The sequence below is a fragment of the Homo sapiens genome, chromosome 1 (assembly GCF_000001405.40).
Source record: "Homo sapiens chromosome 1, GRCh38.p14 Primary Assembly".
Taxonomy (NCBI): domain Eukaryota; kingdom Metazoa; phylum Chordata; class Mammalia; order Primates; family Hominidae; genus Homo; species Homo sapiens.
The window spans coordinates 155,365,371-155,382,178 of record NC_000001.11 but is presented as its reverse complement, the minus strand read 5'-3'; the positions used below and the strand labels follow the sequence as shown (position 1 = coordinate 155,382,178).

Sequence of the window (16,808 nt, the reverse complement as noted above, 5' to 3'; positions counted from 1 at the left end):
GCTGGAGTGTAATGGCACGATCTGGGCTCACTGCAACCTCCACCTCCCAGTTCAAACAATTCTCCTGCCTCAGCCTCCTGAGTAGCTGGGACTACAGGTGTGCGCCACCACACCCAGCTAATTTTTGTATTTTTAGCAGAGACAGGCTTTCACCATGTTGGCCAGGCTGTTCTCGAACTCCTGACCTCAAGTGATCCACCCACCTCGGCCTCCCAAAGTGCTGGGATTACAGGTGTGGGCCAGCACTCCTGGCAAGGCTGTTTTTTTGTTTTGTTTTGTTTTCCTTTTTTTTTGAGACCGTGTCTCACTCTGTTGCCTAGGCTGGAGTGCAGTACGTGATCTTGACACACTGCAACCTCCACCTCTACCTCTGCCTCCCAGGTTCAAGCGATTCTCCTATTTCAGCCTCCCAAGTAGCTGGGATTACAGGCGTGTGCCACCACACCCAGCTAATTTTTGTATTTTTAGTAGAGTTGGGGTTTCACCATGTTGGCCAGGCTGGTCTTGAACTCCTGACCTCAAGTGATCTGCCTGCCTCAGCCTCCCAAAGTGTTGTTGGGATTACAGGCATGAACCATTGCGCCCAGCCAAGGTTGGTTTTTTTGTTTGTTTGATTTTTGTTTTTTTTTGAGACGGAGTCTCGCACTATTGTCCAGGCTGGAGTGCAGTGGTGCAATCTTGGCTCACTGCAACCTCTGCCTCCCAGGTTCAAGCAATTCTCCTGCCTCAGCCTCCTGAGTAGCTGGGATTACAGGCGCCCACCACCACACCCGGCTAATTTTTTGTATTTTTAATACAGGGTTTCACTATGTTGGCCAGCCTTGTCTCTAATGCCTGACCTCGTGATCTACCTGCCTCGGCCTCCCAAAGTGCTGGGATTACAGGCATGAGCCACTGCACCCAGCCAAGGATGTCTTTTAATAAGCAGGAGTATACTCTAAAATAATGATGAAAAGTATAGTATATTAATTATAAAACCAGCAACAAAGACATTTTATCAAGTATTATGTATTATACCTAATTATGTCTGCTATGCTTGTATTCAACTGGTAGCGCTATAGGTTTATTTGCACCAGCATCACCACAAACACATGATTAACACTTTGCACTGCAAAGTTATGACAGCTAGGAGGAATTTTTCAGCTCCCTTATTACCTTCTGGGTCCACCATCATATATGCAGTCCATTGTTGACTAAAACATTGGCACATGACTATATGTATAAGAATTTCATTCTTTTGGCCAGGTGCGGTGGCTCATGCCTGTAATCCCAGCACTTTGGGAGGCTGAAGCAGGTGGACCACCTTAGGTCAGGAGTTCAAGACCAGCCTGACCAACATGGAGAAACCCTGTCTCTACTAAAAAAAAAAAAAAAATACAAATTAGCTGGGTGTGGTAGCACATGCCTGTAATCCCAGCTACTCAAGAAGCTGAGGCAGGAGAATCGCTTAAACCCAGGAGGCGGAGGTTACAGTGAGCCGAGATCGCACCATTGCACTCTAGCCTGGGCAGCAAGAGCGAAACCTCATCTCAAAAAAAAAAAGAATTTCATTCTTTTTAAGGCTGAATAATTTTATATAAGACAAAAACAAAAAAATCAAACAAAAATACTATTTCAATAGGTAGGAAAAAATGTTAAAAGATCATAAATTTGCCTGGAAAACTTCTCGAGTTATTTAAACACAAGAATTTCTCCTTTTTGTAATCAACCTTAGGTTATGTGTAATAATGAAGAGCAGGTGCCAGATGCTGTACCCTTAATAATTTTTAATAATAATAAAATATTTAATAAGCTTCATAATGACCTGTGTGTTTTTGGTTGTAGTTTTGCTGTATTTGTTGTTTTATGTAGACTATTATACTTAAAATATATCTTCGGCATATATCGTGTGGAGTATAGTGGGAAAGAAGAGCTAAAATTAAAAATTGGTGATGGAAAAATCCTTAAAGAATTAAATCTTTATTTTTTTAGTCAGTACATGTTAGTTCTTGTAGCTGTTTGACACCTTTGTATAAGCAAATATTAGAAAAGGTATTGAAATTAATAGTGTTTTTTGTTTCAGGAAAGTATCTAAGACAAAAGAGAATTGACTTCCAGCTTCCTTATGATATCCTTTGGCAGTGGAAACACAATCAGGTACAGAGAGCCTGTTTTACCAGGTTTCATTCTTAAGTGGTAAAGGGGGAGGGGTGGAAATGCAAGTGTTTTTCTCTCCCCTTGTTATGTTTTCATCTTAGGAGGTTTTCAGAAGTGTCCCTGTGAAGGTTAGGACTAAGAAAAATGAATTTGCATCCATCTTTAATGTGACCTATTTGCCTTTACTCTTACTGCAAAATAGCAGTAAGTTCCTGCTTTCCTAGGCAACCTTCTGTTGTTATTCTGGACTTTTATTTTGGTAGCAAAGATTTTGTTCTGTAAGAATTCTATTTGATGCAGGTCTCAGGAGAATTTAGATGTACTGCCAGCAGCACTAAGAAATTTCAGACTTTATTTTTGTTGGCTCCTTCTTATCAGTTTGAAATTTATTTTTCACATGCAAAAGAGATTCTTCTATCAAAGGAAGCAGGGAAATGTTTAACACTCTTGCACTTTTAAAAAATCTTTAAATATATTGGTAACTAAAAACAGGAAGATGCCGTGTTTTTTCTCTTGCTTCCCAAATTGAAAAGTTTCCCGTAGTGATTTTTGTATTAGCTTATAGCCCCCAGGTCTCATATTGAGAACAACCATTGGGAAATAGAAATAGTCATGCAATTGAGGTGAATAGATTTCTTGAGTTCTGCCAAAATGCCACCAAAGGTTTATTTTGGAAAGCCAAAATTGACATTCCCCTCTGCGTTGTCTTCTCCAATGGCCTCTCTTGAATTCTGAGAGTATTAATATGTTAGGTATTTGTCTCAGAGTTTTTAACAATGAAGGAGAGAATGCTTTGAACATACTGACTAGAAAATAATGGTGGGATTATTCCAATATATTAATAAACAGTCTAGCTTTGTGCAAGTTGCTGTTTGTTTTGTACAGTCCCTTATGGCAAAATGCTGGAAGACTGCCTCTCTTCTAATGCATTCTTTTTTTTTTTCTTTCTAATATCTTCTTGATTATAATGTGAGAGCTCCATTTTGCCTGCCTGCCCTCTCTCCTTTATTCACTAAATTAATTGCCTTAATTAAAATTTGAAATGTTTTCCTATAATTCTCAACCTGAAAAGCCAGGGTACTCATCTTTTTAATTTCATGTACCCACCCAGACATCTAAGTAAGTCCTATGCATGTTGTTTTCCTTTCTTTTGATAGAAGCAAATAGAATCTTAATTTGTCCAAATGAATAGCTTTGGTCTCCAGTGTGATTTTCATTTAAGTCTATCCAACAACATGCTGAAGAAACATGTAATTCCACTTGTATAAACTATTTAGTGCTTCTTCTGTTGAATCTTATTCTCTCACCTTTTATTTCAGAGTAAAAAGAGATCACACCAAGAGTTTCCCTCAAATGTATCCAACCCAAAATGTCTTGTAAATATTTCCAGATGAGCAGAGCACATAGAAAATTTCCTGTATTTTTAGTGATTGATGCTGCCGTCTGGCATTTGAAGTTAAATGCTATATCAAGATTTTTCTTCTTTTCTTCTAGCTATACAAAAAGCCAGATGTCCCACTATATAAGAAAATTCGTTCAAGTGAGTAACTTAGGAGCTATTTTTTCTGCCTCTATACGTTAATGTTCTTCTGAGCCTAGCACTTGAAAAATTATCCTGTATGTTCACAAACTATTCTTTGCTTTCTTTTCAAGATGTCTACGTTGATGTCAAACCCCTTTCTGGTTACGAAGCTACCACCTGTAACTGTAAGAAGCCAGATGATGACACCAGGAAGGGCTGTGTTGATGACTGCCTCAATAGGTACTGTCATGCTTTGATTTCTCTAAAGCATAGGCTTTAAGGTATACATACAACACTTCCTTTGGAGGGTACAGTTAAATAGGCTCTTTGATTTTTTTCAAGAAGTTGCACAAAGATATATAAACCATAATGGGTGGGCGGAATACAGAAACAGAAAATGAATGAGATTTAGAGTCTTGTGTGTGCCTTCGTTGGTTTAAATCCTTTTACTTTTTTTTTGTTTGTTTTTTTTGTTTTGTTTTGTTTTGTTTTTTTTTTGAGACGGAGTCTCCCTCTGTCGCCCAGGCTGGAGTGCAGTGGCGCGATCTCGGCTCACTGCAAGCTCCGCCTCCCGGGTTCACACCATTCTCCTGCCTCAGCCTCCCTGGTAGCCAGCACTGCAGGCACCCACCACCACACCCAGCTAATTTTTTTTGTATTTTTAGTAGAGATGGGATTTCACCGTATTAGCCAGGATGATCTCAATCTGACCTCGTGATCCACCAGCCTCGGCCTCCCAAAGTGCTGGGATTACAGGCGTGAGCCACCGCGCCCAGCCAATCCTTTTACTATTTATGAGACCTGAGAAAAGTTATTTAATGCATCTAATAAAAGTAATACCTTACCTTCTCTATGGAGGGTTTGTGGAGATTATATGAGACTGTTGATAAACAATGTTTGTGAAGTTTTGGCTTTCTTGTTTTGGGGTTTTTGTTTTGTTTTGTTTTGTTTTTTTTAGAGATAGGGTCTCACTGTGTTGCCCAGGCTGGATTCAAACTCCTGGGCTCAAGTAGTCCTCCTACCTCAACCTCCTGAGTAGCTGGAACTATAGGTATGTGATACTGTGCCCAGCTCATAAAACATTAAGCACAGTCCTAGGTACCTTCCTAGCTCTCAATATATGGTTGCCACAATGAGGAAGCAGAATAGGACAGTGGCAGTGAGAGTGAAGAGGAAGGGCATAATATATTTTAGAAGAAAAGTATGTTGATAAACCATCGGCATATAGGGGATATGCTCTTCATATGGGGATATATTCTCTCTCTGAAAATAAAGTGTGGAATCTAACTGAATTGGAGATAAGAATTATGAATTTGGCTGGCATGGTGGCTCATGCCTATAATCCAAGCACTTTGGGAGGCTGAGGCAGGCAGGTCACCTGAGGTCGGGAGTTCAAGACCAGCCTGACCAACATGGAGAAACCCCATCTCTACTAAAAATACAGAATTAGCCGGGCATGGTGGCTCATGCCTATAATCCCAGCTACGTGGGAGGCTGAGGCAGGAAAATTGCTTGAACCTGGGAGGCAGAGGTTGCAGTGAGCCAAGGTCCTGCCATTGCACTCCAGCCTGGGCAACAAGAGGGAAACTCCATCTCCCCCCCAAAAAAAAAGAATTATGAGTTATGACTTTGATTTGAGTCTGTAATTTTTTTTTTTTCTTTTTCTGAGATGGAGTCTAGCTCTGTTACCCAGGCTGGAGTGCAGTGGCGCGATCTTGGCTCACTGCAACCTCTGCCTCCCGGGTTCAAGAGATTCTCCTGCCTCAGCCTCCCAAGTAGCTGGGATTACAGGTGCCCCCCACCATGCCTGGCTAATTTTTGTATTTTTTTAATTTATTTTTTTGAGACAGAGTCGCGCTCTGTCGCCAGGCTGGAGTGCGGTGGCACGATCTCAGCTCACTGCAACCTCCACTTCCCAGGTTCAAGTGATTCTCCTACCTCAGCCTCCCGAGTAGCTGGGACTACAGGCATGAGCCACCACACCTGGCCAAGAGAGTATATAATTTTAAACGGCACTGAAATTTCAAAATAGAAATGTCTAATAGACAAAGGAGTGGATATAGAATTTGTTGTTTTAGTAACAATGCACATGTGCAGCAAAATAAAAAAGAATCAGTGAATTTTACATCAGTATTTCCTGTTCTGGATAGTTCTCATGGCCAAAAGTAGCTTCTTTGATCTCTAGTCAGCTGTCCATGTGGTCTGAAGGGAATCAATGTTTTAGTTCTTCCTGCTTCAGCATGCCAGTTGGGAAATTCTACCTTACCTGCATCACTGTAAATTCACACCTTATCATTTTATGTACATACAGGTTCACATAGTGTTTTGCATACTGATTTTCTTTACTCACAAATATTTTAAATGCACACTTTTATTAAACAGTGTGGTCCACAAGCTCAGTATTTTTATTTATTTATGACACAGGATATCACTCTGTTGCCCAGGCTGGAGTGCAGTGTCGCCATCACAGCTCACTACAACTTCTACCTTCCGGACTCAAGCAATCCTCCCATGTTAGCCTCCTGAGTAGCTGAGACTAAAGACGCGTGTCACCACGCCTGGCTAATTTATTTATTTTATTTATTTTTAAAGTAGAGACGGGATCTCGATACTTAGCCGAGGCCGGTCCTGAACCCTTAAATCTCACTATATGAAGGACAACCTAGATCTACGTTTAGTAGCTGGCTGGGGTGCGACTGTCTCATTTTTCTTTTTTTTTTTTGAGACGAAGTTTCATTCTCGTTGCCCAGGCTGGAGTGCAATGGCACAATCTCAGCTCACTGCAGCCTCCACCTCCCGGGTTCAAGCGATTCTCCTGCCTCATCCTTCATCCTTGCGAGTAGCTGGGATTTACAGGCACCTGCCACTGCACCCGGCTAATAATTTTTGTATTTTTAGTAGAGACAGGGTTTTGCCATGTTGACCACGCTGGTCTCGAACTCCTGACCTCAGGTGATCCTCTTGCCTCAGCCTCCCAAAGTGCTGGGATTACAGGTGTGAGCCACTGCATCCAGCCCAACTCTCGTTTTTCAAGGGCATTATCTGGCTAAAGATAATGACAAATTGTACTAAATCAAAGACCTCACATTGTAGTTTACAGCATCTAATTTCAGATTTTGGTAAATTTAGTTTGGTTTCCAGACACAACAAATAGAAACATGTTTTGGTTTTATATAATTTAAGGACTTATTCTGGTTGTCAAAACAAATGGGGAATATATTTCAATGCCTTGAACTCTAGAAACTACAAATTTTCAGTAACCTCTGAATGATTGTTCCCTGGAAGAAATCTTTTAAAATTTAAATCTCTCTTATCTGAGCACTCTTTTATTTATACTTCAGGGTTTTTTTAAATCCGGATGCAGTTTATAGTATGTGTTATTAGGTATTATGAAAATACTTGGTGCCAGCCAAGCACAGTGGCTCACGTCTGTAATCCCAACACTTTGGGAGGCTGAGGTAGGCAGATCACTTGAGGTCAGGAGTTTGAGACCAGCCTGGGCAACATGGCAAAACCCCACCTCTACAAAAAATACAAAAGTTAGCAGGCATAGTGGTGCATGCCTGCAGTCCCAGCTACTTGGGAGGCTGAGGTGGGAGGATCGCTTGAGCCTGGAGGTTGAGGCTACAGTAAGCTGTGATCACGCCACTGTACTCCAGGCTGGGTGACAGAGTGAGACCCTGTGTCAAAAAAAGAAAAGAAGAAAATATAGGTGTGGAATATTATGAACTAGAGGTTACATTTGAAGCCATGATTATAGATCAGCTCTCTAGAAAAAGGAATATGGTAGAGGAAAAAAGGATTTCTACCAGAAAAGACAGGAATTGGTATTGGCAAGGTGGGAAATCCAGTATCATAAAAAATGAGGAAAGCCAAAAAAGGAAGGCATTTCAAGAGGGGTATTCAATAATATTCATGTACCAAAGAAGTCAGCAAACGGAAGAGTAAAGGTGGTTGAATTTGATGTTAAGGCACTGTCTTCTTTACAGCTGAAGCTGATTATCTTAAATTGAAGAATAATCCAGTCGATACTTTCTCTGCTCCTATTTACATGATTTGACACTGTGTGCCGTGTGCCCTTTAGAATCGTGGTGGTATTTTTGTTTAGAGTAAGTCAGATTACTCTGAAAGTACTTTAAGGTATAAACTGTTATATATTTTCTTTACAAAACTTTTCACTTTTTTTTTTCCTTTTTTTGAGACAGTCTCGCTCTGTCACCCAGGCTGGAGTGCAGTGGCACCATCTCGGCTCACTGCAGCCTCTGCCTCCCAGGTTCAAGCGATTCTCCTACCTCCGCCTCCCAAGTAGCTGGGATTACAGTTGCCACCACGCCTGGCTAATTTTTGTATTTTTAATAGAGACGAGGTTTCGCCGTGTTGGCCAGGCTGATCTCGAACTCCTGACCTCACGTGATCCTCCCGCCTCTGCCCCCCAAAGTGCTGGGATTACAGGCATGAGCCACCGTGCCCGGCCTTTAAAATTATTATTATAAATATAACATGATATTTTGACGATTATTTTCTTGATCATTCCTTGTTTTAGTCATGCTTAAGGCCAGGCATGTTGGCTTACGCCTGTAATCCAGCATTTTGGAAGGCCAGGGTGGGCGGATCACTTGAGTCCAGGAGTTTGTGACCAGCCTGGGCAACATGGAAAAACCCCATCTTTACTAAAAATACAAAACATCAACTGGGCATGGTGGCGTGTGCCTATAGTCCCAGCTATTCTGGAGGCTGAGGTGAGAAAATCACCTGAGCCCAGGAGGTCGAGGCTGCAGTGAGCCAAGATCATGCCACTGCACTCCAGCCTGGGCAACCAGAATGAGACCCTGTATCCAAAAAACAAACCAAAAAATAATGCTTAACAGCCTAGATGAGATTTCAAACCATACACCAAAACTAAACAGCTCCCATTAAAACAGCCAGGTGCATTGGCTCACAAAATGCTGTAATCCCTAGCATTTTGGGAGGCCGATGAGGGAGGATCCCATGACCCCCAGGAATTTGAGACCAGCCTAAGCAACATAGCAGCAAGACCTCACCTCTACAAATAATTTTTTTTTTAAGTAGTCAGATGCGGTGGTGCGCGCCTGTGTTCCCAGCTACCCAGGAAGCTGAGGTGGGAGAATTGCTTGAGCCCAGGTGGTCAGAGCTGCAGCGAGCCATTATTGTGCCACTGTACTTCAACCTGGGTGACAGAGCGAGACCCTGTCTCCAAAAAAAAAGTAAAGAAAGCAGTGACAAGATGTGTGTGACTTCTTTTGTCTTCTATGTTCAGTTTTTTTTTGTTTTTTTTTTGTTTTTTTTTTAGACAGAGCCTCACTCTTTTGCCCAGGCTGGAGTACAGTGGTGCAATCTCAGCTCACGGCAACGTCCGCCGGACAAGTTCAAGCAATTCTCCTGTCTCAGCCTCCCGAGTAGCTGGGACTATAGGCACATACCACCACGCCCAGCTAATTTTTGTATTTTTAGTAGAGATGGGGTTTCGCCACCTTGGTCAGGCTGGTCTTGAACTCCTGACCTCACATGATCCTCCTGCCTCTGCCCCCTAAAGTGCTGGGATTACAGGCATGAGCCACTGCACCCATCTAGAATTTTTAACTTGTTAATTCCCTAACTACTATGGGTTCAGCTAGTCATATAGCCTGGAAATGTCATTTCAATTAATGTAATATAAAATTCCTGTAATACAACAGCAGCAAATATACCTAATGTCACTGAACTGTACTCTTAAAAATGGTTAAGGCTGGGTGTGGTAGTTCATGCCTGTAATCCCACCTACTCAGGAGGCCGAGGCAGGATGGATCCCTTGAGCCAAGGAGTTCGAGGCTACAGTAGGCTGTGATCAGGCCACTGCACCCCAGTCTGGGTGACAGAGGGAGACTTCCCCCTCTTTAATTAAAAAAAAAAAAGGCCAGGCACAATGGCTCACGCCTGTAATCCCAGAACTTTGAGAGGCTGAGGTGGGCGGATCACTTGAGGCCAGGAGTTCGAGACCAGCCTGGCCAACATGGCAAAACCTCGTCTCTACTACAAATACGAAAATTAGCTGGGCGTAGTGGTGCATGTCTGTAATCCCAGCTACTTGGGAAGCTGAGGCAGGAGAATCCCTTGAATCCAGGAGGCAGAGGTTGTAGTGAGCTGAAATTTAGCCACTGCACTCCAGCCTGGGTGACAGAGCGAGACTTTGCCTCAAAAAAATAAAAATAAATTAAAAAAAAAAAAAACTGGCTGGGCACAGTGGCTCATGCCAGTAATCCCAGCATTTTGGGAGGCTGAGGTGGGTGGATCATTTGGGGTCAGGAGTTCGAAACCAGCCTGGCCAACATGGTGAAACCCCATCTCTACTAAAAATACAAAAATTACCCGGGTGTTGTGGTATGCGCCTGTAATCCCAGATAAGGCAGTAGAATTGCTTGAACCCAGAGGACAGAGGTTGCAGTGAGCTGAGATCATGCCACTGCACTCCAGCCTGGGCAATGGAGTGAGACTCCGTCTCAAAAAAATAAATAAGAGTAAATTAGCGGCCGGGTGCAGTGGTTCACAAGCTTGTAATCCTAGCACTTTGGGAGGCCGAGGCAGGCGGATCACCTGAGGTTGGGAGTTTGAGACCAGCCTGGCCAACATGGTAAAACCCTGTCTCTACTGAAAATACAAAAAATAGCCGGGTGTGGTGACACACATCTGTAATCCCAGCTACTCGGGAGGCTGAGGCAGGAGAATCTCTTGAACCTGGGAAGCGGAGTTTGCAGTGAGCCGAGATTGTGCCAATATACTCCAGCCTGGGCAACAGAGCCAGATTCCATCTCAAAAAAAAAAAAAAAAAGTAAATTAGGTATTCTACCACAATTTTTTTTTAAATCAGTAAATGGGCATGAGTGCTTCAAAATAAGAGTACAGTGAAATCATCATCAAATTACTGATTCTTCTTTGGATCACAGTTATTTATTTATTTATTTTATTTATTTATTTTGAGACGGAGTCTCACTCTGTCGCCCAGGCTGGAGCGCAGTGGTGCGATCTCTGCTTACTGCGACCTCCACCTCACAGGTTCAAGGGACTCTCCTGCCTCAGCCTCCCAAGTAGCTGGGATTACAGGTGCACACCACCACACCCAGCTAATTTTTGTATTTTTAGTAGAGACAGGGTTTCACCATGTTGGCCAGGCTAGTCTTGAACTCCTGACCTCAGGTAATCCACCCACCTCAGCCTCCCAAAGTGCTGGGATTACAGGCATGAGCCACCTTGCCCAGCCTTATTCTTGGAATAGATAAATATGATAATGTTTACCCAGGATGCTGAGTGGACAGTTAGCTTAATCATTTACAAGAAGCATTCAGGATTTGCAGCCCGACTTGGAAATTCTGAATATTATTAATTTTTGACATTTATTATTTTAATCTTAGTGATTCGGGTACTTTTATTAAATAAAAATTGATTTCATGTATTCATTTTTAAATGTTTGTAAAATTTAAAAATGGATGCATCAAGGTATGTATCATGTAAGTTGATGTACAGTTATTCCTTTTTTTTCTAGAATGATCTTTGCTGAGTGTTCCCCCAACACTTGCCCATGTGGCGAGCAATGCTGTAACCAGAGGATACAGAGGCATGAATGGGTGCAATGTCTAGAACGATTTCGAGCTGAGGAAAAAGGTTGGGGAATCAGAACCAAAGAGCCCCTAAAAGCTGGGCAGTTCATCATTGAATACCTAGGGGAGGTCGTCAGTGAACAGGAGTTCAGGTACGGTGGTAAATGATGATACTCTAATAAAATGCCAAGGTATAAGATTAGAATGGAGAATGGAAGATGTGAAATTTACTTTCAGCTACTCTTTAATTGTCTTTCAATCATTTATCTTCTCTTTAGGAACAGGATGATTGAGCAGTATCATAATCACAGTGACCACTACTGCCTGAACCTGGATAGTGGGATGGTGATTGACAGTTACCGCATGGGAAATGAGGCCCGATTCATCAACCATAGCTGTGACCCAAATTGTGAAATGCAGAAATGGTAAGGAAGCAAAAGAAGGTGAAGACAAGAATCCAGCAGAATAAGCATTGAGTGCAGCAAGGGATTGATCTTTCCAGTGTCAGTCAGCTTACACAAAGCAGCTCAGGCTGTTCCCCATTACCCCAGATCCCACGGGCAGAGTAAGCTGCTTCGTTTTCACCCTAACTTCTCACTCCCAGACAGATATTTTTGTTTTTATTTGTGTTCTGTTTTTTTGTTTTGCTTTTTTGGTTTTTTTGTTTGGCATGCAAGTAGTTTCAGGATCTATGTCCTAGAAAAATATAATAATGATGATGATGATAGCCAGGGTGGTGGTACACACCTGTAGTCCCAGCTATTTGAGAGGTTGAGGTGAGAGGATCACTTGAGCCCAGGAGTTTCAGGCCAGTCTGGGCAACATAGCAAGAAAAAATCAAAAACAAAAAATAATGATAATAGGCCGGGTGTGTTGGCTCATGCCTGTAATCCCAGCACTTTGGGAGGCCAAGGTGGGCGGATCACGAGGTCAAGAGTTTGAGACCAGCCTGACCAACATGGTGAAACCCATCTCTACTAAACATACAAAAATTAGCCACTCATGGTAGCGTGCACCTATAATCCCAGCTACTTGGGAGGCTGAGGCAGGAGAATTACTTGAACCCGGGAGGCCGAGGTTGCAGTGAGCTGAGATCACACCAGTGTACTCCAATCTGGGTGACAGAGCAAGACTCCATCTCAAAAAAATAATAATAATACCTAATATTTATTGAGTTCTTACTATGTGCTAGGCACTGTGTTACATGGATCATCTCATATCAGTTCATTCAGCCACTCTACTGCATGCTTATTAAATACCTGGTGCATTTCTCACAAAGAGAAATAAAAAAAGTGAATCTGGAGGTCCCTTCCCCTCAAATAGATTAGCATCTAATTGAGAAGGAAAAAAGTCACACCTAAAAAATAATTTTAAAAAGATAATATGAGGATAGTATGAACAACTTTGGGGTTTTTTGTTAAGTTTTTAAAAATTAAAGTGTAATTCATATACAGAGAAATACATAGACTTTTTTTTTTTTTTGAGACGGAGTCTCGCTCTGTTGCCCAGGCTGGAGTGCAGTGGCGCGATCTCAGCTCACTGCAAGCTCTGCCTCCTGGGTTCATGCCACTCTCCTGCCTCAGCCTGCCCAGTAGCTGGGACTACAGGCACCTGCCACCACGCCCGGCTAATTTCTTTTTTGTATTTTTAGTAGAGACGGGGTTTCACTGTGTTAGCCAGGATGGTCTCGATCTCCTGACCTTGTGATCCGCCCGCCTCGGCCTCCCAAAGTGCTGGGATTACAGGCGTGAGCCACCGCGCCCGTCTAGAAATACATAGATCTTAAGTGTACATTTCCATTAATTTTTTCAAATGTATACACCCATATAACCAACACCCCTATGAAAATATGACATACTTTGTCATTTCAGAAAGTTACCTTTTAAGTCAATCTCCCAATCCCCCAAAGCAAGCACTGATCTGATTTCCATTGCCACAGATGAGTTTTACCTATTCCAGAACTTCATGTGAATGTATTCTTTTGTGTCTGGCGTCTTTTTTGTTAAAAACATGTTTTTGCAGTTCATCCATGTTGAATGCATTAGTGGTTTGTTACTTTTTAATGTGGAGTAATACTTCTTTGTGTGAATTTACCAGTTTGTTTATCAATTACTGTGAACAACTTTATATTTGAAAAGTTAGATGAAATGAACAAATCCTTTGAAAAACATTCCAGCCGGGCACAGTGGCTCACGCCTATAATCCCAGCACTTTGGGAGGCCGAGGTGGGTGGATCACAAGGTCAGGAGTTCAAGACCAGCCTGGCCAAGACGGTGAAACCCCATCTCTACCAAAAATACAAAAATTAGCCGGGCGTGGTGGTAGGCGCTTGTAATCCCAGCTGCTCAGGAGGCTGTGGCAGAGAATTGCTTGAACCCGCGAGGCGGAGGTTGCAGTGAGCCAAGATGGTGCCACTACACCCCAGCCTGGGCAACAGAGTGAGACTCAGTCTCAAAAAAAAAAAAGAAGAAAGAAAAAGAAAAACATACCTTTCCAAAACTGACATAAGACAAAATAGAAAATCTGCACATGTACCCCCAAAATTGAAAATGTAACTAAAATATCTAACAAAAGAACCTGGAGAACCAGATGTCTTCACTGATAATTCTTCCACATACTTAAAGAACAAATAGGCTGGGTGCAGTGGCTCACACCTGCAATCCCAGCACTTTGGGAGGTAGAGGTGGGAGGATTGCTTGAGCCCAGGAGTTCAAGACCAGCCTAGGCAAGATGGTGAGACCTGTCTCAACAAAAATTTAAAGATAAAATTTAAATATTAGCTGGGTGTGATGGTGCTACTTGGGAGACTGAGGTGGTAGGATCGCCTGAGCCCAGAAGTTCGAGGCTGTAGTTTCCTGTGATCATGCAACTGCACTCCAGCCTGGGTGACAGAGACCCTGTGTCTATTTAAAAAAATGAAGACGAAGAAGAAGAAATAATGGCAGTACCACTTATAAACTCTTTGCTTCTATAAAACTAGCATTACCTTCTTCTAAAATCTAACCAGGAAAAAATATAGGCCAGTGTGTTCCATGAACATAGACACAAAAATCCTAAATAAAATATCAACAAATAAAATTTAACAATAAATAAAAAGCTTAATACATCATGACTATGTGGGGTTTATTCCAGGAATAAAAGATTGTTTGGTTTAACATTCAAAAATCAGTGTAAACCAATGTAATTTTATCACAATAATGGACTAAAGACAAAAAATCATATATTGTCTCAATAGAAGCAGAAAAAGCATTAAACAGTATTCAACACTCATTGATAATTAAAACTCAGCAAACTAGGAATAAAAAGGAACTAACAAATCTGCCAAAGGAAATCCATTTTTAAAAAATCTTTAGCTACCATTATACATAAATAAGGATATCCACTGTCATATCTACATTTGAAGAGTCTAACCAATACAATAAGAAAAGGAAAAAAGTATAAAGATTAGAAATGAAAAAAAATTTAACTACCATTATTCGCAGATGACATTATTATACACATGGGAAATTTCTACAGACATAAGTGAATTTAGCAAGATTAATGGAAAGATGGTCAGTATATAAAAATTAATGTATTGAGTACATTTTAATATATTAGCAACAACCAAGTAGAAAGTGAAATTTAAAAACCATTACAAGGCCAGGTGCAGTGGCTTACGCCTATAATCCCAGCACTTTGGGAGGCCAAGGCGAGCGGATCATGAGGTCAGGAGTTTGAGACCAGTCTGACCAACATGGTGAAACCCTGTCTCTACTAAAAATATAAAAATTAGCCGGGCATGGTGGCATGCACCTGTAGTCCCAGCTACTTGGGAGGCTGAGGCAAGAGAATCACTTGAACCTGGGAGGCGGAGGTTGTAGTGAACTGAGATTGCACCAATGCACTCCAGCCTGTGTGACAGAGCAAGACTCCATCTCAAAAAAAAAAAAAAAAAAAAAACCAAACCCATTACAGGCTAGTTGCAATGGCTCACGCCTGTAATCTCAGCACTTTCAGAGGCCAAGATGCACAGATTGCCTGAGGTCAGGAGTTCGAGACCACCCTAGCCAACATGATGACTGAAACCCTGTCTCTACTTAAAATACAAAAATTAGCTGGTTGTGGTGGCACACGCCTATAGTCCCAGCTATTGGAGGCTGGGGCAGGAGAATTGCTTCAACTCCGGAGGCAGAGTTTGCAGTGAGCCGAGATCGTGCCACTGCACTCCAGCCTGTGTGACACACCAAGACTCCGTGTCAAAATAAATAAATAAATAAAAACCAATACAATTTACAATAGCTTCATAAAAGACTAGTCCCTAAGAATAAATCTTATGAAAGTTTGTAGGACCTCTATACTAGAAGCTGTCAGAAGTTGGGAAAAAATAAAGATGACCTAAATTAATGGAAAAATACACAATGTTCAAGGGTTGAGTGTTGGCAGTTTTTTTTAAGTGAAAGGAAGTTTATTAAGAAAGTAAAGGAATAAAAGAAAAGAAAGGCTATTCCATAAACAGAGCAGCCCCGAGGGCTGCTGGTTGCCCATCTTTATGGTTCTTTATAGATTATATGCTAAACACGGGTTGGATTATGCATGAGTTTTCTGGGAAAGTGGTGGACAATTCGCAGACCTAAGGGTTCCTCCACTTTTTAGACCATATAGAGTAACTTTCTGACGTTGCCATAGTGTTTGTTAACTGTCATGGCACTGATGGGAGTGTAGTAGTGAGGACGCCCAGATGTCACTCTCGTTGCCATCTTAGTTTTGATGGGTTTTGGCTAGCGTCTTTACTGCAGCCTGTTTTGTCAGCAAGGTCTTTATGACCTGTATTTTGTGCCAACCTCCTGTCTTATCCTGTAACTAAGAATGCCTAACCTATTGGGAATGCAACCCAGCAGATCTCAGCCTAATTTTACCCAACCTCTATACAAGATGGAGTCGCTCTGGTTTAAACGCTTCTGACATTTTCCCCCTCCCTTTTATAAGAGAACCCTTAATCCTTAGGGGTAAACAGGGATGAAGATCCATCTTTAGTAATTTCTTCAGGTTGAATAGCGGTGATGATATTCCTGCCTATTAGGGTCTCTTGTATCCAAGGTAGAGAAGAGATCAGTCAGAAAGTGTCAGTATGGTAAGGGCCATTCATAGTTCTGACAAAAGGTGATATCACGGGTCAGGAACCCTATACAGGGACTTTGTGGAAAAGGTATGAGGCCAGTTTTCCCAAGGGGCTTTTATTGGCTCTCTAAGCCAAGTTTGGTTCCTTAATAGAAAGCACTCCATTCCAATCAAAGCCTTGGTAAAATAACCAGTTTCTCCAATTGTATCATCTGGTTTCCAGATTTTGGAGAAATGAGGTAGAGGGAAACAAACATCCTTTAAATTTTGTTCACAGGAGTTTTACTCAATTGTTAAGAACTGTCAATATGCCAGGCATGGTGGCTCATGCCTGTAATCCCAGCACTTTGGGAGGCTGAGGCAGGTTGATCACCTGAGGTCAGGAGTTCGAGACTAGCCTGGCCAAAATGGTGAAACCCCATCTCTACTAAAAATACAAAAAAAAAAAAAAAAAAAAAATC

The 16,808-nt window shown here is 41.8% G+C and overlaps 1 protein-coding gene across 13 annotated transcripts in view; it reads left to right on the top strand.

The window, feature by feature from the left end:
* Nucleotides 1-16,808, top strand: part of ASH1L (ASH1 like histone lysine methyltransferase) — a 227,935-nt gene that overhangs the window by 181,024 nt on the left and 30,103 nt on the right. For 12 of the 13 annotated variants that reach the window (XM_047425248.1, XM_017001785.2, XM_006711450.4 and 9 more), the window contains 5 exons: nt 2,063-2,136; nt 3,631-3,676; nt 3,790-3,898; nt 11,196-11,402; nt 11,529-11,675. In XM_047425248.1, the coding sequence (XP_047281204.1) occupies nt 2,063-2,136; nt 3,631-3,676; nt 3,790-3,898; nt 11,196-11,402; nt 11,529-11,675 (583 nt within the window). Of the gene's footprint in view, nt 1-2,047; nt 2,137-3,630; nt 3,677-3,789; nt 3,899-11,195; nt 11,403-11,528; nt 11,676-16,808 lie in introns of all 13 variants that reach the window. The other variant, NM_001366177.2, reaches the window with a different exon arrangement.